This window comes from Homo sapiens, chromosome 22 (genome assembly GCF_000001405.40).
Source record: "Homo sapiens chromosome 22, GRCh38.p14 Primary Assembly".
Lineage (NCBI taxonomy): Eukaryota > Metazoa > Chordata > Mammalia > Primates > Hominidae > Homo > Homo sapiens.
In genome coordinates, this window is record NC_000022.11 from 20920340 (window position 1) to 20942640 (window position 22301).

The 22301-nt window shown below is 45.6% G+C and overlaps 1 protein-coding gene across 2 annotated transcripts in view, besides 1 other annotated feature; it reads left to right on the top strand.

Moving 5' to 3' along the window:
- Positions 1-22301, top strand: part of CRKL (CRK like proto-oncogene, adaptor protein) — a 36341-nt gene that overhangs the window by 2933 nt on the left and 11107 nt on the right. For both annotated transcript variants that reach the window (NR_156180.2, NM_005207.4), the window contains exon 2: positions 13440-13905. Coding sequence is in view for 1 of the 2 variants with exons in the window: in NM_005207.4 (NP_005198.1) it covers positions 13440-13905 (466 nt within the window). In the remaining variant the exon portion in view is untranslated. The remainder of the gene's footprint in view (positions 1-13439; positions 13906-22301) is intronic.
- Positions 4292-4939: an enhancer, noted in NCBI's record as "NANOG-H3K4me1 hESC enhancer chr22:21278919-21279566 (GRCh37/hg19 assembly coordinates)". NCBI's record gives its function as "activates a minimal SCP1, AML or CMV promoter by ChIP-STARR-seq in naive H9 embryonic stem cells {active_cell/tissue: H9 hESC(naive)}" and the evidence as "EXISTENCE:reporter gene assay evidence [ECO:0000049][PMID:30033119]".

Sequence of the window (22301 nt, forward strand, 5' to 3'; positions counted from 1 at the left end):
AAAATACAAAAAATTAGCTGGGCGTAGTGGTGGGTGCCTGTAATCCCAGCTACTCGGGAGGCTGAGGCAGGAGAATCGCTCGAACCCGGGAGGCGGAGGTTGCAGTGAGCCGAGATCGCGCCACTGCACAGCCCGGGTGACAGAGTGAGACTCTGTCTCAAAAAAAAAAAAGGAAAAAGTTAATGACTTGAGTCTCCTTCTAGAGGAAGGAAAAGAAGTATGCCGCTTCTCTCTATCCACAGAATCGCCTCCAGATTTTCCGTACATGCATGCATCTTCTTAGAGAACAAGCATGTAATTCTGTCTTTGCCCTCTTTCGTCCTTCCTTTACTGCAGCTGTACTAGGCTGCTCACTTATTCCCTGGTAGCCATCCTTCCTTACTCATACCTTTGTACCTTTGCACCTTTGCTCCAGCTGTTGGCTCTTCACTGACTGCCTTAACTACACCTCACTCTCCATCTGTTGAAATCCTACCTGTTGTTCCAGTCCCCTCACAGATTATAGGGCCTTTCTCTGACCCTACCCCTCACGTTCAGCTTTGTTTCTCCTTCTCTGTGCCCTCTGCCTCAGGCCTGTTGCTTTAATTTAGTTTTTCATTTTCCTAGGTATCTCTGAAGGAGATCACCATGCTGGTTGAATTAGATCCTGACTGAGTTTACTTTGTTATACTGAATCTTCGAATTGCCACTCCCAAGCCTGGTTTTCATGGCTTAGGTTTAACATGTTATTAGCCTTTTATAGAAAGCTAGTGACTACTAGAGCCTGGGCCAAACGGAAAACTCAGTGTAATGCTTCTTCGCATCCCAAACAGGGTACATTTAGTGGCTTAACTTTGCAGGCATCAAAACTGAGCTTTTAAAGCCAGAGTTTCATGCCTCTTGGCTAATATTTTGGTTTATCTTGCATAGCTAAAATTTGTAACAATAATGTCCTACTCGAAATTTAAGGACTGGTGGCTTGCATTGTTATAGTCTTATCCTTTTCATTAGAATGCTTCATAATTTTTAATTTTATATTTTTATTCAAATGTTTATAAGAGAATTATAACCCAGTGTAACCCAGTGTAGGTACTGGGAAAGATGTGTGACAGACATACTTTCTTCCTGTGGAACTCCTACTGTAGTGGAGAAGACAGACTGAAAAGTAGAAAAATAAAGTACTAGTAAGATCAATATACAGGAGGGACCTACCTGGGGTGGCGTGGTCAGAGAAAGCATGAAGCTAAGACCTGAGGGTAAAGAAGAACCCAGCCTAGGCAAGGCTTGGCCTGAGAGGAGGAGAAGAGCCTTCCAAGTTTAGGGAAAAGCTTATGTAGATGTCCTGAGGTGAGAAAGTCCATTGTGTTGGGAGTGTGTTTCTTTTCTTTCTTTCTTTTTTCTTTTTTTTTTTCTTGAGACGGAGTCTTGCTCTGTCGCCCAGGCTGGAGTGTGCGATCTCGGCTCACTGCAAGCTCCGCCTCCTGGGTTCACACCATTCTCCTGCCTCAGCCTCCCGAGTAGCTGGGACTACAGGCGCCTGCAACCATGCCGGGCAAATTTTTTGTATTTTTAGTGGAGACGGGGTTTCACCATGTTAGCCAGGATAGTCTCGATCTCCTAACCTAGTGATCCGCCCGCCTCGGCCTCCCAAAGTGCTGGAATTACAAGTGTGAGCCACTGCGCCCGGCTTTTTTTTTTTTTTTTTTTTTTTGGTAGATGACGTCTCACTCTGTGGCCAGGCTAGAGTGCAGTGGCCCAATCTCGGCTCACTGCAACCTCTGCCTCCCAGGTTCAAGTGATTCTCCTACCTCAGCCTCCTGAGTAGCTGGGACTGCATGGGACTACAGGCACCCGCCACCATGTCCGGCTAATTTTTGTATTTTTAGTAGAGACAAGGTTTCACCATGTTGGCCAGGATGGTCCCTATATCTTGACCTCATGATCCACCTGCCTCAGCCTCCCAAAGTGCTGGGATTACAGATGTGAGCCACCCTCTCCGGCCTGGGAGTGTGTTTCTTAAAGGAGAAAGGGGGACATATAAAATGAGTTTGGAGATAAAGATCAGGGTCAGGAATTGGGTTTTTATTTAAAGTGCTGTGGGCTCCAAGGAAGGAATTTGAGGCAGAGGAGTGACCTGGGGCTGTTATTGTAATCCAGCTACAAAATGATGGTGACTAATAGTGACAGTGGAGCTGTGACTTGGAGATGCCTATTTTGGAGATAAAATTGATTTGCTGGTGGGTGGGGATGAAGGGAAAGGGAAGAAGGGATGATTTGGTCTATTTGTAACTTTGTTATCTTCTGTGTTTTTATCTTTAACTGCTTTTTGTATTTGTGGTATTCCTATGGTGGATTTTATTTTATTTATTTTTTTGAGACCAAGTCTCCCTCTGTCCCCCAGGCTGTAGTGAAGTGGCATAATCTGGGCTCACTGCCACCTCCGCCTCTGGGGTTTAAGATTCTCCTGCCTCAGCCTCCCTAGTAGCTGGGATTACAGGCATGCACTGCCACACCTGGCTAATTTTTGTATTTTTGGTAGAGACAGGGTTTCACCATGTTGGCCAGGCTGGTCTTGAACTCTTGACCTCAAGTGATCCACCTGCCTGGGCCTCCCAAAGTGCTGGGATTACAGGTGTGAGCCACTGCGCCTGGCCTAGCTCTAGTGTATTTTTATTTAATAAGGGCTGTTTCCAGTTTAACAACAGAATGCTTCAGAAGGTAGCTTGCTTTGTTTGACATTTTCCATTTCTAGCTTGTGTCGATAGATAAATTCAGGCTATGAAGAAAAATTAGAATAAATAAAATTTTACCATTAAAAACTAAAGGAAGTTGGCCCTTCAAGAAAATAATGTACTGTACTCAGCAGACTTTGAGCATTACATGTACCTGGTAATATGGAACCAACATTGAATCAGACAGCCCTATCATGCTTCTGAGGAGCTTACTGGTTACTAAAAAAAAAATTTTTTTTTTTTTGAGACGGAGTCTTGTTCTGTCGCCCAGGCTGGAGTGCAGTGGCGGGATCTTGGCTCACTGCAAGCTCCGCCTCCTGGGTTCACGCCATTCTCCTGCCTCAGCCTCTTGAGTTAGCTGGGACTACAGGTGCCCGCCACCATGCCCGGGTAACTTTTTGTATTTTTAGTAGAGACGGGGTTTCACCGTGTTAGCCAGGATGGTCTCGATCTCCTGACCTCGTGAACCGCCCGCCTGGGCCTCCCAAAGTGCTGGGATTACAGTTATGAGCCACCGCGCCTGGCATTTTTTTTTTTTTTTTTGAGACAGAGTCTTGCTCTGTTGCCAGGCTGGAGTGTGGTGGTGCAATCTTGGCTCACTGCAACCTCCACCTCCTAGGTTCAAGTGATTCTCCTGCCTCAGCCTCCCAAGTAGCTGGGACTACAGGCGCACGCGCTACCACACCTGGCTAATTTGTGTATTTTTAGTAGAGATGGGGTTTCACCATGTTGAGCAGGATGGTTTTCTGTCTCTTGACCTCAGGGGATCTGCTCGCCTCGGCCTCCCAAAGTGCTGGGATTACAGGCGTAAGTCACCGCGCCTGGCTACTAAAAAAAAAAAAAATGTAAAGGTTGGCTGTGCTCGGTGGCTCGTGCCTGTAATCCCAGCACTTCGGGAGGTTAAGGCAGGAGGATCGCTAGATCCCAGGAGTTTGAGACCAGCCCTGGCAAGATAGTGAGACCCCATTCCCACAAAAAATTAAAAAATTAGCTGAGCATGGTGTCATGCGCCTTTAAGTCCCAGCTACTTGGGAGGCTGAAGTGGAAAGATTGCTTGAGCATGGGAGGTCGAGGCTACAGTGAGCTATGATCATGCCACTGCACTTCAGCCTGGGCAACAGAGCCAGACCTTGTCTCAAAAAATGAATGAATGAATGAATGTAAGTTGTATATATTTAATATATTTAATCTCCATGCATGGTGAAACAGCTGTGGGAGAACTGAGAAAGGGTGCTTAGTCTAACCTGAGAGCCCAGAAGAGGAGCCTCACACACCTGTGAAGTAGAAGCCAATCCCTGAAGGGACAGGAGGAAACAAGAAGCATGGTTGTGCCTCCTCTTTACATCCCCTGTTCTAATTATTTAAGAACTCAAATCTAGACTTCCATAATTTGGAATGGGGAAAGGATTGCCAGTAATTTTAATCAGCATAGAATTCAACTCTGTGAATAAACCCCTTTGCGTTTCTCCTGACCAGTAGTTAAAATCATGTGAATTTGATTCAGAGAAAAATACAAGAACATGGCCAGGTGCAGTGGCTCACGCCTGTAATCCCAGCACTTTGGGAGGCCAAGGTGGGTGGATTGCCTGAGTGCAGGAGTTTGAGACCAGCCTGGGCAACACGGTGAAACCCTGTCTCTACTAAAATACAAAAAATTAGCTGGGCATGGCGGCGTGTGCCTAAGAGGCTAAAGGCAGGAGAATCACTTGAACCTGGGGGGTGGAAGTTAAAGTGAGTCGAGGTCGTGCAGCTGGACTCCATCCTGGGCGACAGAGTGAGACTCTCTCCAAAAAAACAAAAAACAAGAACACTGTCATGCTGAGAATGGAATCTTGTCCAATTAAGAGTTGTGTTCCCAGCCGGATGTGGTGGCTCACGCCTGTAATCCCAGCACTGTGGGAGGCTTAGGCGGGCGGATCATGAGGTCAGGAGATCAAGACCATCCTGGCCAACATAGTGAAACCCCGTCTCTACTAAAAATACAAAAACTAGCTGGGCGTGGTGGCATGCATCTGTAGTCCCAGCTACTCCGGAGGTTGAGACAGGAGAATCGCTTGAACCTGGGAGGCAGAGGTTGCACTGAGCCAAGATCACACCACTGCACTCCAGCCTGCCAACAGAGCGAGACTCCGTCTCAAAAAAAAAAAAAAAAAAAGAGTTGTGTTCCCATGGAAAGTACTAGTAGCCATTCGATTTGTGACTTTTAAAACTCAAATCCACAGAATTGTGACCTAAATTTTTCCTTTTGATCTGAATGATTAGACTAGATTTCTGAGGGTCTTTAAGATTAAAATATTTTAATTCTGGGCCGGGCGTGGTGGCTCACGACTGTAATCCCAGCACTTTGGGAGGTCTGGCAGGTCGGGAGTTCGAGACTGAACCTGGGAGGCAGAGATGACAGTGAGCCGAGATTGCGCCAGCGCCACTGCACTCCAGTCTGGTCAACAGAGCGAGACTTCGTCTCGGAAAACAAAAAACAAACAAACAAAAAACATTATTTTAATTCTTTCAGATAAGTAAAAGGGGGCACAGCCTATTAGTTGGGAGTTCAGATTAACTTGAGTTGAATCTGAGCTAAAATCATAACAAGTTGGGTGGGGCCACCAGGCACATAGCAACTCACCTGGAATGAACGTGACAAGAACAGTGGAAGAGGATGAGAAGAGGCTTTGAAGGTGCACACTCAACGGTATTCGAATTCTGTCACACCAGTTTTGTGACAGTATTAAACCAGAGTTAGGTAATTTGAATACCTGAGCTTTTGTGCTTTCAGAAACAAAAAAGGAGGGAAATAGGAAAGGGAAGTTCTTTGATATATAGAGGCCTACAATATACCAAAGCTCACTGCTAGACTCTTGGAATCTAATGGAAGTAAACCATGTTTTTGTTTTTGATTTTTGTCTTTGAGAAGCTTTGGTCTATTGAAAAAATTAGAATGCCATGACAGCTTAAAAGCAAAGGCAATCAACTGTACCTAAGAGGTGGGGAGAGGCTTGAAAGAGGAGATGCTCTTCAACTGATTCTTTAAGGATGAGAACAAGTATACGAGGTAGAAGAGGTGGTGGTAGAAGAGATGGTGGCAGTGCTTGCTGGTAAAGACACAGTTATAATTAATGTAGATGATGGGCAGGAACCTAGGAAGGAAAGATAAAGCCAACTTGTAAAGGGCCTCCTCAGCCTTGTAAATGAGCTTAACAATGGGAGCCATCTAAAGTTTTTAAAAAGAGAACTGTCAGATTTTAAAAGGAGAACTGATGAGTTTTACTTTTGAGAAACTGCTCTGGGTGGGGAAAGATCTGAAGGACTAATTCTCTGTTACTGGAGAGGGACCCTGAGAAGCTGAGCCAAGATCAAATGCCATAGGAATGTAAAGTGGCACATAGAAGGTGAGGGGAGAGGTATGATGACTTCAGAGAGGATTGAGTGGTGCCTTTGAGACAAGAGAAAGGGATTAGGGTGGGTGCGTGATTCTTTTCAACAGGAAGAATCTTTCTTTGAGGTACCTGCTGGAAGCCAGGTGGTATTTAGCAATCTGATGGGTTTGTTATTGAGAAGAGAGGTAAGGGCTGAATACATATAGATTTGGGAATCGCAGCTTAGATGGGATCACCCAGAATGAGGAGGCAGAACAGGAATAAGTAGAGAAAGAGAAGCTGCGGAAGGAGAGGCAGCCACAAGCATAGGAGGAGGAGCCATTAGTGATGGCCTGAAAGCCCAGGGACAGAAGGGAGGGGACCTGGGCATTAAATGCTGGTCAGTGATAAAGAATGGTGGTTACTGGCTGGACATGGTGGCTCACGCCTGTAATCCTAGCACCTTGGGAGGCGGAGGCAGGTGGATTGCCTGAGCTCATGCGTTCGAGACCAGCCTGGCCAACACAGTGAAACCCTGTCTCTACTAAAATATAAAAAATTAGCCAGGCATGGTGGCGTGCGCCTATAGTCCCAGCTACTCGGGAGGCTGAGGCAGGAGAATGGCTTGAACCTGGGAGGCAGAGATTGCAGTGAGCCAAGATCGCACCACTGCACTCCAGCTTGGGTGACAGAGCAAGACTCCGTCTCAAAAAAAAAAAAAAAAAAAAAAAAAGAATGGTGGTTAAAGCAGTTTCACTAGAGAAGTACTTAGCTCATCTTGGAATTGAATTTTTTTTTTTTTTTTTTGAGACAGTGTCGCTCTGTCGCCCAGGCTGAAGTGCAGTGGCATGATCTCGGTTCACTGCAGTCTCCACCTCCCGGGTTCAAGTGATTCTCCTGCCTCAGTCTCCTGAGTAGCTGCGATTACAGGCGCCCACCACCATGCCCGGCTAATTTTTGTATTTTTAGTAGAGATGGGGTTTCACCATATTGGACCAGGCTGGTCTCAAACTCCTGACCTCAGGTGATCCAATTGCCTCGGCCCCCTAATGTGCTGGGATTACAGGCATGAGCCAGTCACCACGCCCAGCTGGAATTAAGTTTTCTACCTTTTTTTTTTTTTTTTTAACTGTGAAATATTTCATACATAGAAAAGAGTAAGGGTGCCGTGGCTCACGCCTGTAATCTCAGCACATTGGGAAGCCAAGACAGGTGGATCACTTGAGGTCAGGAGTTCGAGACCAGCCTGGCCAACGTGGTGAAACCCTGTCTCTACTAAAAAGACAAAAATTAGCCGGGCGTGGTGGTAGATGCCTGTAATCCCAGCTACTTGGGACGCTGAGGCAGGATAATTGTTTGAACCCGGGAGGTGGAGGTTGCAATGAGTTGAGATCGCACCATTGCACTCCAGTCTGGGTAACAGAGCAAGACTCTGTCTCAAAAAAAAAAAAAAAAAAAAAAAAGGAAAAAGAGTAAGCCTGGGCACGTTGGCTCATGTCTGTAATCCCAGCACTTTGGGAGGCCGAGGGAGGCAGATCACTTGAGGTCAGGAGTTTAAGACCAGCCTGGCCAGCATGTGAAACCCATCTCTGTTAAAAATACAAAATTAGCCCGGCAGTAGTGGGGCCCTGTAATCCCAGCTACTGGGGAGGCTTAGGCACAAGAATAGCTTGAACCCAGGAGGCAGAGGTTTTGGTGAGCTGAGATCACACCACTACACTCCAGCCTGGGCAATAGAGTGAGACTCTGTCTCAAAAAAAAAGTATATGTAAGCTGGGTGTGGTGGCATGCACCTGTAGTCCCAAATAGTGGGGAGGCTGAGGTAGGAGGATTGCTTGAGCCCAGGAGTTCAAGACCAGCCTGGGCAACATAAACCCCCATCTCTGCAAAAAATTAAACAAGGATTGGCTGGGCATGGTGGCTCATGCCTGTAGTCCCAGCTACATGGGAGGCTGAGGTGGGAGGATCACTTGAGCCTGGGAGGTCAAGGCTATAGTGAGCCATGATCGTACTGCTGCACTCCAGCCTGGGCCATAGAGCAAGACGCTATCTCAAAAAAATTTACAAAACAAGCCAAAAAAAACTATCATCTGTGTGCTCCCTTTAAAAAATAAATAAATAAAACATTGGCCAGGCGTGGTGGCCCAGACTGTAATCCCAGGACTTTGGGAGGCTGAGGTGGGAAGATTGCTTGAGCTCAGGAGTTCAAGACCAGCTTAGACAACATGGCAAGACCCTGTTTCTACCAAAAATACAAAAATTAATCGGATGTGGTGGCATGCACCTGTAGTCCCAGCTACACAGAAGGCTGAGGTGGGAGGATCGCTTGAGCCTTGGAGGTTGAGGCTGCAATGAGCCATGATTGTGCCTCTGCACTCTAGCTCGGGCAACAGAACGAGATCCCATCTCAAAAAAAAAAAAAAAAAAAAAAAAAGGAATATTACCAGCACCTTTGAAACTTCCTTTTTCTAGAAGTTGATTGTATTGGTTCTTAGCATGCATAAGGAGATTTTAAGCTTAGAACATATTAGCACTTGGTTTAAAGATGTTTTGTGTATGGTTTATACATGTAGAAACTGAGAACGCTTTTAACCAAAAGAGCTGAGAGATTCGTTATCATCAGAAAAGAAAAGTCAGTTACGAATTAGTTGTTAGGGGCTTTGCTGCTCAAAGTGTGTAGTGGACAATAGGCAAAAAGTGAGAAGCATGGTCAAGGGTGTTTGGATGGGCTTGAAAACCCTGTGCATTTTATTTTATTTTATTTTATTTATTTATTTTTGAGTCGGAGTCTCACTCTGTTACCCAGACTGGAGTGCAGTGGCGCGATCTCGGCTCACTGCAAGCTCTGCCTCCCGGGTTCACACCATTCTCCTGCCTCAGCCTCCCGAGTAGCTGGGACTACAGGCGCCTGCCACCACGCTCAGCTAATTTTTTTGTATTTTTAGTAGAGATGGGGTTTCACTGTGTTAGCCAGGATGGTCTCGATCTCCTGACCTCTTGATCCGCCCGCCTTGGCCTCCCAAAGTGCTGGGATTACAGGCGTGAGCCACTGCACCTGCCTTATCTATTTAATTTTTTGAGACGGAATCTCTGTCTGTCGCCCAGGCTGGAGTGCAGTGGCATGATCTCAGCTCACTGCAACCTCCGCCTCCCGGGTTCAAGCAATTCTCTTGCCTCAGCCTCCCAAGTAGCTGGGCCTACAGGCACACGCCACCACACCTGGCTAATTTTTGTATTTTAATAGTGACAGGGTTTTGTCATGTTGGCCAGGTTGGTCTCAAACTCCTGACCTCATGATCCACCTGCCTCGGCCTTCCAAAGTGCTAGGATTGCAGGCATGAGCCACTGCGCCTGGGCAACACTTTATATTTTAAAGGGAAGTTGGGGGAGGGTGCTATTTTCAACCTTGCTCAAAGAACAAATAATTGGGAAGCAATAAATTTTCTGATGAATATGCTTCATATTTCTTTAGACAGTGGGGTCTAATGGAAAGGCTAAGATATCTGACATGGAGCAACATGTATTTATCTCTTCAGTGGAACTAATGTGTAATTTTCAGGGGAGTTTGATGAATAAATGAGTTTGAGAATATAGGGCAGAGGACTTGGAATTTGTGTCAGGGTTATGGCTGGTGAGATTGATTTGGTGTCAAATTTATGAATATCTCTGCAGATACTAACACAGAAAATGAGCCCCAAGGTCACTATAGCAGTATAGTAGTGGAGGGAAATAGAAACTATCTTTATCAAATTTCTACACAGACATACCCCTCACCAGGGAAGCAAGGAAGTTGAAAAGCACACTTTGCCTCCCTAACCCAGGAATTTAGATGGGGGATCAGCAAACTGTTGAGTAAAGGGTCAGATTTTAAATATTTTCAGCTTTTCCATAGAGTCTCTGTCCAACTACTCAACTATGCCTTTGTAGTGAAAAACAGTCATAGACAATACGTAAATGAATGGGCTTGGCTATCTTCTTTTTTTTGTTTGTTTTTAAGATGGAGTCTTGCTCTGTCACCCAGGCTGGAGTGCAGTGGTGTGATCTCAGCTCATTGCAACCTCTGCCTCCCAGGTTCAAGCAATTCTCTTCCCTCGGCCTCCCAAGTAGCTGGGCCTACAGGCGCACGCCACCACACCTGGCTAACTTTTGTATTTTTAGTAGTGACAGGGTTTTTTGTCATGTTGGCCAGGTTGGTCTTGAACTCCTGACCTCAAGTGATCCTCCCGCCTCGGCCTCCCAGTGTTGGGATTACAGGCGTGAGCCACCACACGCCTGGCTTTTTTTTTTTTTTTTTTTTTTTTTTTTTGAGATAGAGTCTTAACTGTTTCAGGCAGTGACGTGATCTTGGCTCACTGCAAGCTCCGCCTCCCGGGTTTACACCATTCTCCTGCCTCAGCCTCCCGAGTGGCTGGGACTACAGGCGTGTGCCACCACACCTGGCTAATTTTTTGTATTTTTAGTAGAGAGACAGGGTTTCACCGTGTTAGCCAGGATGGTCTCAATCTCCTGACCTTGTGATCCGTCCACCTCAGCCTCCCAAAGTGCTGGGATTACAGGCGTGAGCCACCACACACTGGCTAACTGCTTTTAACTATACAAATAATAAAATACTCTTGGATGGAGTCTAAGGTGGAACTGACTGTGCTCTTAATAGTGTCTGAAATTTATATGGTACTTACTGGACTGTTCACAGGCTCTCTGTGGCTCTTGAAATAGCAGGGGCTGGGTGTGATGGCTCACACCTGTAATCCCAACACTTTGGGAGGCCAAGGCGAGAGAATTGCTTGAGGCTAGAAGTTCAAGACAAGCCCTGAAAACATAGTGAGACCCCCATCTCTACAGAAAATTTAAAAATTGGCTGTGTGTGATGGCAACTGCCTGTAGTCCCAGCTACTCAGGAGGCTGAAGTGGGAGGATCACTTGAGCTTGGGAAGTGGAGGCTACAGTGAGCTGTGGTTGTGCCACTCTGCACTCCAGCCAGGATGACAGCAAGACCCTGTCTCAAAAAAAAGAGAAAGAAATAGAAGCAGGGATATACTTGAAGGGGTATGTGTGTGTTCATGTCGGTACATTGGATGCTTGGTGCTGCTCGGTAATTTTGAATGCCTCACATGCATTATGCCATTAATTCTCATACACCTGACAGATGCAGGGTTCGTCCCTAAGGCTGATTAGCTCATTATGAGTGAAGAGTTTAGAACCAGACTCCCTGAGTGCAAGTCTAACCTCTTCTTTGGCTCCTCATTTGTAAAATGGGGATAATAACAGCATCTACCTCACAGACTATTAAATAATCCAATCTCTTCAAAGATCGTAAACCATGCCTAGCATAGATAATAAGTATGAGCTCTTTATTATTACTCTTGCTCCTACTACTCTTGCTAGCTATTTATTTTTATTTTTATTTTATTTTATTTTATTTTTTTGAGACGGAGTCTCGCTCTGTCACCCAGGCTGGAGTGCAGTGGTGCAATCTTGGCTCACTGCAAGCTCCGCCTCCCGGGCTCACACCGTTCTCCTGCCTCAGCCTCCTGAGTAAGTGGGACTACAGGCACCCACCACCATGCCCGGCTAATTTTTTGTATTTTTAGTAGAGACGGGGTTTCACCGTGTTAGCCAGGATGGTCTCGATCTCCTGACCTCATGATCCGCCCACCTCAGCCTCCCAAAGTGCTGGGATTACAGGCATGAGCCACTGCGCCGGCCTCTTATTTATTTATGTTTTGAGACAGTCTTGTTCTGTTGCCCAGGCTGGAGTGTAATGATGCAGTCATAGCTCACTGCAGCTTCTAACTCCTGGGCTCAAGTAATGCTCCTGCCTCAGCCTCTTGAGTATCTGGGACCGCAGGTGTGTGCCACTATGCCCGGCTCATTTTTTGTCTGTTTAGTAGAGACAGGGTTTTGATATGTTGGACAGGCAGGTCTCCAAGTCATCTGCCTGCCTTGGCCTCCCAAGGTGCTGGGATTACAGGTCTGAGCCACCACGCCTGGTGGATTTATTATTTTTAATTTGGCAAGTCTGTAAGCCCTTTTTTGTTCCTTTTTTTTCAAGAGGCCAGAGGCAGAGGCCTTTGTCATTTTCTGTGTGTCCAGGGAAGTGTGCAGGATGTAAGCCATAGATTAGGACTGGGAGGAAGAGTGTGTGGTGGTTGTGACAAGGGTCCAAAGGAAGGCAGCTTCCGAACTTACTTGAGATTATAAAAATAAATTTAAACCAGGTATCTCTGTGTAATCAAAAGGTTTCTGTAAAACAGAGATGGAGTGTATGTGTGTGTGTATACTTGTAATTTGAAAAGACATTCAGAATAGTAACTTTTGGGACAGTACAGACTACAAAAATTACAACATGATAGAACCTTCTTAACTACTAAGAATATAGAAAGGAAAATAAAGCCAGGCGTGGTGGCTCACACCTGTAATGACAGCACTTTGGGAGGCTGAGGCGGGTGGATCACATGAGGCCAGCAGGAGTTTGAGACCAGCCTGGCCAACATGCCAAAATCCTGTCTCTACTAAAAATACAAAATTTAGCTGGGTATGGTGTTGCACATCTGTAATCTCAGCTACTCGGGAGGCTGAGGCAGAAAAATCACTTGAACACGGGAGGTAGAGGTTACAGTGAACTGAAATTGCGCTACTGCACTCCAGCCTGGGTGACAGAGCAAGATTCTGTCTCCAAAAAAAAGGCTGGGCTCAGTGGCTCACACCTGTAATCCCAGCACTTTGGGAGGCCGAGGCAGGCAGATCACGAGGTCAGGAGATCAAGACCATCCTGGCTAACAAGGTGAAATTCCGTCTCTACTAAAAATAGAAAAAATTAGCGGGGCGTGGTGGCATGTGCCTGTAGTCCCAGCTACTCAGGAGGCTGAGGCAGGAGAATTGCTTGAACTTGGGATGCAGAGGTTGCAGTGAGCTGAGATCCTGCCACTGCACTCCAGCCTGGGCAACAGAACAAGACTCCATCTCCAAAAAAAATGTAGAGGCCGGGCATGGTGGCTCATGCTTGTAATCCCAGCACGTTGGGAGGCCGAGGTGCGTGGATCGCCCGAGGTCAGGAGTTCAAGACCAGCCTGGCCAACATGGTGAAACCCCTTCTCTACTAAAAATAAAAAAAGTTACCTGGGCGTGGTAGTGGGCGCCTGTAATCCCAGCTACTCAGGAGGCTGAGGCAGGAGCATCACTTGAACCTGGGAGGCAGAGTTTGCAGTGAGCTAAGATCACGCTATTGCACTCCAGCCTGGGCGACAAGAGCAAAACTTGTCTCATAAAAAAGGAAAATAATTTATTATAGAGGAGAGTGGTATATTAAGAAGTTTGACAGGCACTGGCTTAGAGTAAGATTTTTCTCTTAGAGTAATTTTCTTTCTCTCTTAAGGTATCCAAGCCCACCAATGGGATCTGTCTCAGCACCCAACCTGCCTACAGCAGAAGATAACCTGGAATATGTACGGACTCTGTATGATTTTCCTGGGAATGATGCCGAAGACCTGCCCTTTAAAAAGGGTGAGATCCTAGTGATAATAGAGAAGCCTGAAGAACAGTGGTGGAGTGCCCGGAACAAGGATGGCCGGGTTGGGATGATTCCTGTCCCTTATGTCGAAAAGCTTGTGAGATCCTCACCACACGGAAAGCATGGAAATAGGAATTCCAACAGTTATGGGATCCCAGAACCTGCTCATGCATACGCTCAACCTCAGACCACAACTCCTCTACCTGCAGTTTCCGGTTCTCCTGGGGCAGCAATCACCCCTTTGCCATCCACACAGAATGGACCTGTCTTTGCGAAAGCAATCCAGAAAAGAGTACCCTGTGCTTATGACAAGACTGCCTTGGCATTAGAGGTAAAATCTGTTCAGATTAGCTTTTTGGGTCCTTTGACATTTGGTTTTAATTTTTAGTTTTAGTTTAGTTTCTGCTCATTTAAGCTTATATTCATGGAATTAGAGCACTGGATGATTTTGGAAGATACGCACTGTTAGCGTTTCATTTTAAAATTTTTTTATAGAGACGAGGTCTCTAATTTTAAAAGAGTTGTTTGCCCAGGCTGATTTCGAGGTCCTGGCCTCAAGCAATCCTCCTACCTCGACCTCCCAAAGTACTGGGATTACAGATGTGAGCCACCATGCCTGGCCCATTATTAGTGTTTCACAGCTTGTTTTGTTCTGTCCTATTCCTTGTTTGCCCCAAATTCTCAGCCTTCTTGCTCTTTCTTGTTCCCAAAGCCTAACAGATTTAGTTTTGCAGTTGTTGGTTTTTCTTCCAGTAAGGAAAGATAATGATTAAGGAAGACCCATGACCTAGAGGCAAAATCAACATATATGGTTCTGTATTTCTAACATTGGAATCAGTTGAGAAATATGAAAATGTCTTAGAATTTCTCTTGAGCTTGGTAGAGGAATGAATTTTTTTTTTTTTTTTTTTTTTTTTTGAGATGGAGTCTCACTCTGTCGCCCAGGCTGGAGTTCAGTGGCTCAATCTCCGCTCACTGCAAGCTCCACCTCCTGGGTTCACACCATTCTCCTACCTCAGCCTCCCAAGTAGCTGGAACGACAGGCACCCGCCACCACGCCTGGCTAATTTTTTTGTATTTTCAGTAGAGACAGGGTTTCACCGTATTAGCCAGGATGGTGTCGATCTCCTGACCTCGTGATCTGCCTATCTTGGCCTCCTAAAGTGCTGGGATTACAGGTGTGAGCCACCGTGCCCGGCCCAGGAATGATTTTTTTTGAGATGGAGTCTTACTTTGTCACCCAGGCTCCAGCACAGTGGCATGATCTTGCCTCATGGCAACGTCTGCCTCCTGGGTTCAAATGATTATCCTGCCTCAGCCTCCTTAGTAGCTGGGATTACAGATGCCTGCCACCATGCCCGTCGAATTTTTGTATTTTTAGTATAGATGGGGTTTCACCATGTTGGCCAGGCTGGTTTTGAACTCCTGACCTCAGGCGATCTGCCTGCCTTGGCCTCCCAAAGTGCTGGGATTACAGACATGTGCGACCACGCCCAGCCATAGAGGAATGATTTTAAAATACATCAGCCCTTGCTTGTTATGGATTTTGTAAATTAGAATAGCATGAAATAGAACTTGAACATTTTAATTACCAAGTCATTTTCTTTTCTTTTTTTTTTTTTTGAGACAGAGTCTCGCTCTATTGCCTTGTTGCCTAAGCTGGAGTGCAGTGGCGTGATCTTGGCTCACTGCATCCTCCGCCTCCTGAGTTCAAGTGATTCTCCTGCCTCAGCCTCCCGAGTAGCGGGGCTACAGGCATGCACCACCCTGCCCGGCTAATTTTTGTATTTTTAGTAGAGACGGGGTTTCACCATGTTGGCCAGGCTGGTCTCGAACTCCTGACCTCAGGTGACCCACCCACCTTAGCCCGCAAGTGCTGGGATTACAGGCATGATCCACTGCACTTGGCCAAGTCATTTTCTTCTAACTAAATATTACTTTTTAAAAAAACTCTTTCTCAGCTGGGCACAGTGGCTCATGCCTGTAATCCCAGCACTTTGGGAGGGCGAGGCTGGTGGATAACTTGAGGTCTGGAGTTTGAGACCAGTCTGGTCACAGACATGGTGAAACCCCATCTCTACCAAAAAATACAAAAATGAGCCAGACGTGGTGGGCATGCACCTGTAGCCTCAGCTACTCAGGAGACTGAGGTGGAACAATTGCTTGAACCAGGTAATTAGAGGTTGCAGTGAGCCGAGATCATGACACTGCATTTAAGCCTGGGCAATAGGGTGAGACCCTATCTCAAAAAAAGGGGGGAGAATGTTGAGAGAGAGCCTAAGTGCATTTCAGAAGGATGAAGTAAGGGACCCTCTTGCTTCAAAAAAACCAAATCCTGACTCACCAAACAGCCTGCCCACAGATAAAAGTTAGCTAGAATTGGTTTCATGGGTATTTTTCCATAGGTTGTCCTCAGTGTTTTTTTGTTTTTGTTTTTGTTTTGTTTTGTTTTGAGACGGAGTTTCGCTCTTGTTGCCCAGGCTGGAGTGCAATGGCACGATCTCGGTTCACTGCAACCTCCGCCTCCTGGATTCAAGCCATTCTCCTGCCTCAGCCTCCGGAGTAGCTGGGATTACAGGCATGTGCCACCATGCCCGGCTAATTTTTTTGTATTTTTAATAGAGACGGGGTTTCTCCATGTTGGTGAGGCTGGTCTCGAACTGCTGACTTCAGGTGATCTGCCCACCTCGGCCTCCCAAAGTGCTGGGATTACAGGCGTGAGCTACCATGCCTGGCCCTCAAGTTTTTCTTTGGACCAGTAGTAGTATCTGAATGAACTGCACCTGAAGGTTTGTTTCAATGTTTGATTTTTTGCCTCCCTTTCATGTTGGCTATAAGGAAAAGGAGCATTTGAGGCTGTGGTGGGGGTCAGGGACTGAGAGGCTCCAGGTCTCAGGAGGCTGCCTCCACAGATAGGAGTGCTGGCTGAGCAGGCCTTCCAGCTTTCTTTCCTTTTTTTTTTTTCGAGATGGAGTCTCATTTGTTGCCCAAGCTGGAGTGCAGTTGATAGAATCTCAGCTCACTGCAACCTCTGCCTCCTGGGCTCAAGCGATTCTTCTGCTTCAGCCTCTCAAGTAGCTGGGATTACAGGTGCCCGCCACCATACCCAACTGTTTTTAGTAGAGACCGGGTTTCACTATGTTGGCCAGGCTGGTCTTGAACTCCTAGCCTCTGATCATCTGCCCGCCTCAGCCTCCCAAAGTGCTCGGATTACAGGCGTGAGCCGCTGCACCTGGCCAGGCCTTCCAGCTTTCTCACCCACACACAGACCTGCCTAGGCACAGGTGCATGCCTCTGGCCTGGTCTATGCCTCAGCACCTTGGTGCTCTGGGCTGTTAATACCCTGTAGCATGCATTGTGTTTTCAGCCTTTTGAGGCATTTTCACGTCCATCATAGCATAGGATTGGGGAGCTAGGAGTCAGAGTGGGTGTGACTCGTGTGTGTTTGGCAGCTGCTCGTTGAGAACCTTGAAAGTCGAGGCTCCCAGTCAGAATTTTAGGTACCTGCCTGTTGACCTCTGGCTCTAGGATGTGTGTTTTAGAAACCTGTATCTAGTGTGCGTGCGTGTGTGCTCACTGGAGCGAGTACTAGGAGGTTGTAGGGAGGAATACCAGGTATTACAGAAGGGATCACTTAGAGCTTGGTGAGTGGGTGGATAAGTAGGTGCCTGAGAGAGGTCAGGAGTAGGAGGAAGGAAGCCTGGTTAATGATTGTGTATTTTAAGATAACCTACATACTTGGCCATACATAGTTCCTAGTCTCTCTGGCCCCAGAGAGAGGTTCTCCACACCTGAGCCTCATGACACTAACCCAGCCAGCTGAGCTTCAGCCAAGGGTTTGTTTGGTGCTTGACTGAGAGAGAATGTAAATGGGACCTGAGAAATAGACCTTTACCAAATTCCATTTAGTGGTATTTTGCTTTCTGAATATTTAAATGAAACTTTAGGTTATAGCATAAGTAAATTTTTTTTTTTTTCGAGACTGAGTCTCTGTCACTCAGGCTGGAGTGCAGTGGCATGATCTCCGCTCGCTGCAACCTCCACCTCACGGGTTTAAGCGATTCTCATGCCTCAGCCTCCTGAGTAGCTGGGGTAAATGTTTTTATGATTGTTATCTTCTAAAACTATTATTAGGATAGTGGTGCCTGTCTGATCTTGTTAAAAACAACTCTTGGGACTTTTGCAATTAGGTTACTAGGAAAAGTATTAAAATTAAAATGAGAAACAGACAAGTAGGACAAAATGTGCTGATAATTGAAGCTTCGTTATTCCCCTAGATAGTATTACAGAGAATGATGATGGCTTAGGTGACTTTATTCCTTAAATTATTTTACAATTTTTTTTAATCTTGATTTTCAAAAGAGGATTCCTGTAAGTAAAGAGATATTTTAAAACCAGTTTGTGTTTAGCTATTTTCTTTTCTTGCTGACTTTTCTGCAAGGAAAGAGTTGATCCTGAGATTTGATTTGAAGGGGAATACTTGGTATCTGTAAGGTGAGTAGAGCTTGTGTGATGAGACTAACGTCACTGAATAGCTGTAGACAGGTGAGCATGCTGGGCAAAGGGCAAAAGTGGCAAAAGACAGCCAGGGCAGTGGGCTGTTGCCATATCACGAAGGGCTGAGCTGAGGAGATTAACAATTTTCTTGCATTGCCTTCATTTGAGTCATGAAACAGCCAGTTTCTCACAACTGACAAGGTCAGGTTTACAGGCAATTTCTTTTTATATATTAATTTTTAAATTTAGAGCAAATGCTTGACTGTCATGTAATAATATCATTCTCATTCATTTGCATTCCAGTATGCTTTTCTGACTAAAACGGAAGAAATAGCAACTTTAGAATTGTACTTAACCCTGGGTACACACACCCATGACTATTTGTATGAAAATTTGTATTTAAGTGTCTAAATGCAGCCTCACCTGTGCTTTTCCCCCATGGTGTGGCATAAGAAAACAATTGGTGACACAAGCTGGGGATCTGTGGGAATTGAAGTCAGTGAAACAGATCGTGTGGAGGAAAAATAGTTTCCCAGGCTTACAAGTGAGACTTAAAGTGATTTGGGATGGAATTGGTATAAATCAAGCAGAAAGGTTGTATTGATACCTTAGGTCATTTAGTTCAATCATTTTCCCTGTGCTTTTAGCCCTCTTCAGAGTCTAACTCCATGGCCCTCCAGTCTCAACTTGGACACCTCCAAAAAAACATTCACTTCAACAAAAGTTTATTGAGTGCCTATTATGTGACAGGCTAGGAACTTGGGATACAGTAGTGAACAAAACAAAGATGTATTTCCTGTGGCACATCTGGAACATAAGTTGCTTTTTTTTTTTTTTTTTTTTTTTTTGAGACAGAGTCTTGCTCTGTCTCCCAGGCTGGAGTGCAGTGGCGCCATCTTGGCTCACTGCAAGCTCCGCCTCCCGGGTTCACGCCATTCTCCTGCCTCAGCCTCCGGAGTAGCTGGGACTACAGGCACCTGCCACCACGCCCGGCTAATTTTTTTTTTTGTATTTTTTAGTAGAGACGGGGCTTCACCGTGTTAGCCAGGATGGTCTCCATCTCCTGACCTCGTGATCCACCTGCCTAGGCCTCCCAAAATGCTGGGATTACAGGCGTGAGCCACCGCGCCTGGCCCATAACAGTTTCATGAGGTGGTCTGTCTCATGTTGTATGGCTGTGGTAGCTGACAAGTCTTGTGTTCTGGCTCTCCACCAGGGAGAAAGAAGCCACAGCCAAGTCCCCTTCTTGTGTTTGCCTAGCCCAGTGTGTGGACTTAAAAGTGCATGGCCCCATAGTTGTCCCTCTTGAGTTTTGTAGTTTTGTTGTTGGTTTGGTTTTTATTGGTCTTGTCATATGATCTGCGTACATCTCTGAATCCTTTTTTTTTTTTTTTTGAGTTGAAGTCTCGCTCTTGTCGCCCAGGCTGGAGTGCAATGGCGTGATCTCGGCTCACTGCACCCTCTACCTCCCAGGTTCAAGTGATTCTCCTGCCTCAGCCTCCTGAGTAGCTGGGATTACAGGCACCTGCCAACCGCGCCTGGCTAATTTTTTTATTTTTAGTAGAGAAAGGGTTTCACCATGTTGGCCAGGCTGGTCTCAAACTCCTAACCTCAGGCAATCCGCCCGCCTCAGCCTCCCAAAGTGCTGGGATTATAGGCATGAGCCACCACGCCCAGCCTCTGAATCTTTTAAAATCCTGGTTATGTCATCTAGCATATTCATTACCCTCCAGTTTCCTAACTGCAGGTTTTGTAAAAGCACCAACAGATCTTTGTACTAAAGTCCTTCTATGCAGCCTCTCCAGATCTGCCTCTTATATCTATAAAAAGACAGTGAGGTTGATCTGGCGTGACTTGTTCTTGGTGGGCTCATGCTGCTTCCAGATGCTCCACTTCCCATTCTAAATTCTCACAAACCATCTGTTAGCTAATCGCATCCAGAATTTTGTCTGGGTTTCATTTCAAGCTCACTGTTTTACATTTTATGGAATTTGCCATCTTTTGACAAAAAACAAGAGACTTGACCCTTCCTAAGTCTTCCAGTGTCCTGTGATGTAATTTCTCTATGACAGGAGACTAGTCTTGGACTCTTACTGCTGTTTGCCAGTGTGTTTGGTCAGCTCTTAAGAACACCCTTTCCTCATCTTTGGTGCTCCTTTTTTTTTTTTTTTTTTTTGGCATTTTTTTTCTTAGTGATACTCAGCGTTCTTTGAGGTCACCAGCATCCTCAACATTCTTGCTCTTCATTCCCATAATTGCTCTGTGTCATCTGTGATTGCGTTTTTATAATTTCTTCTTGGATTGTCTTTGCCCCATTTCAAAACCTGTAGTAATTTGGATTACATCTGGTCTCTGTGTCTTTTGAATTGGCCTTCCCAAGGGCCCATGGTACAACTTCCTTTACTGACTGACCTGGAATTATCAGATTCCCACTTTACCAATTGGTTTTGCTTCATTGCTTAGAATTAAATTTGTATTAGCATTTTCTTCATTGCTGCATCTGCTTGCTGAGGTGAAGTAATCTGCAAAGTAAGTTTAGGTTTCATTAATACTGATTGGACTTTGTATTGGACTCATGATGAATCCCTAAGAGATCATCATGAGTTCCTCCTGCTGGGTGGCCTGCAGTGCTCTTGGGGCTGTATGTGTTCATCATGAAGCATCTGACTCAGCCCTGGGGGTCCATGTGGCAAGCTTACAGGCTCCCAGTGTAATGGGGCTTCTGTCCCTCACCTCACGTCACATTCTAGCAACGTGAAGCCTTCTTACCAAGGCTTCCCAGAAAGGCCCACAAGTTAGCATTCACCTTAAGCAAGAATCTCAGGTGTGTCCTTCCCATGCCGTGGTGGTGTGTGGATGTCTGGTGCCCGAGGAATCATTTCCACTTGCCTCCTTGGACCTTTCATCAGGACTGACCAGGATCCTCCTCCACCCTTCTGTCTTTGACATTGTGTCAGTTGTCCTTCACAGCATCTCAGCTTTATTTCTTTAGTACCAAAAGTGCTTTTTTTCCTTGACTATAATACCATGCAAATGTAGGAATCTTTAGAAAGTCCTTTAGAATATTCTCGTATTTAAAAATATATACATATGTGTGTTTGTGTATGTGTATATATATATATATTTTATGTGTGTGTGTGTGTGTGTGTGTGTGTGTGTGTGTGTGTGTATATATATATTTTTTTTTTTTTTTTTTTTTTTTGAGATAGAGTCTTGCTCTGTCACCCAGGCTGGAGTGCAGTGGCATGATATCAGCTCACTGCAACCTCTGCCTCCCGGGTTCAAGCAGTTCTCTGCCTCAGCCTCCCGAGTAGCTGGGATTACAGGTGCCCGCCACCAGGCCGGGCTAGTTTTTGTATTTCTAGTAGAGATGGGGTTTCACCACCTTGGCTAGGCTGCTCTTGAACTCCTGACAACGTGAGCCACTGCACCCGGCCCAGAAAAAAATATTTTTAAAAGGTTTTTGTTCCTCTTTCCTAATGTGTAAATTAAGTCAGAATGCCATGGAATTGGGGCCCTGGTGTGGTTCAGGCAGGGCCTGTCCCATCCTGGTCATTAGGCTGACCTCTGTTTTCTGTGATAGCTGTTCTCTGGTGATAGCTGTTGAGTAAGAAGAACCATCAGCTAGGGGTTCACAGAGAGAAGTTTATTCTCATGACTGCTCCCACACTAAGAGCTTGAGGTTTATATAGTTTGCCAACTATCTACCTTCTGTCTATGAATTTACCTATTCTACCTACCTGATATAAGTAAAATGATACAATATTTGTCCTTTGGGTCTGAATTATTTCATTGGGTACAATGTTTTCAGAGTTCATCCAGATTGTAGCATATATCAAAACTTCATTTCTTGTCCCAGCATGGGGTGACTCACACCTGTAATCCCAGTGCTTTGAAAGGCCAAGGTGGGAAGATCACTTGAGGCAAGGAGTTTGAGACCAGCCTGGGCAACATAGTGAGACTCCATCTGTACAGGAAATTATGATAAAGACTTCATTCCTTTAGGGCTGAATAATATTCCATTGTTATGTATATATCACGTTTTGTTAATCCATTTATCTCTTGATGGATACTTGAGTTGTTTTCGTTATTTTGGCTATGGTGAATAATGCTGCAGTGGACATTGACACACAAATGTTTGAGTCCTTGCTTTCAGTTATTTTGGTTATATATCTCAGAGTGGATTTCTGGGTCAAATGGGTAATTCTGTGTTTAGCTTTTTTTTTTTGA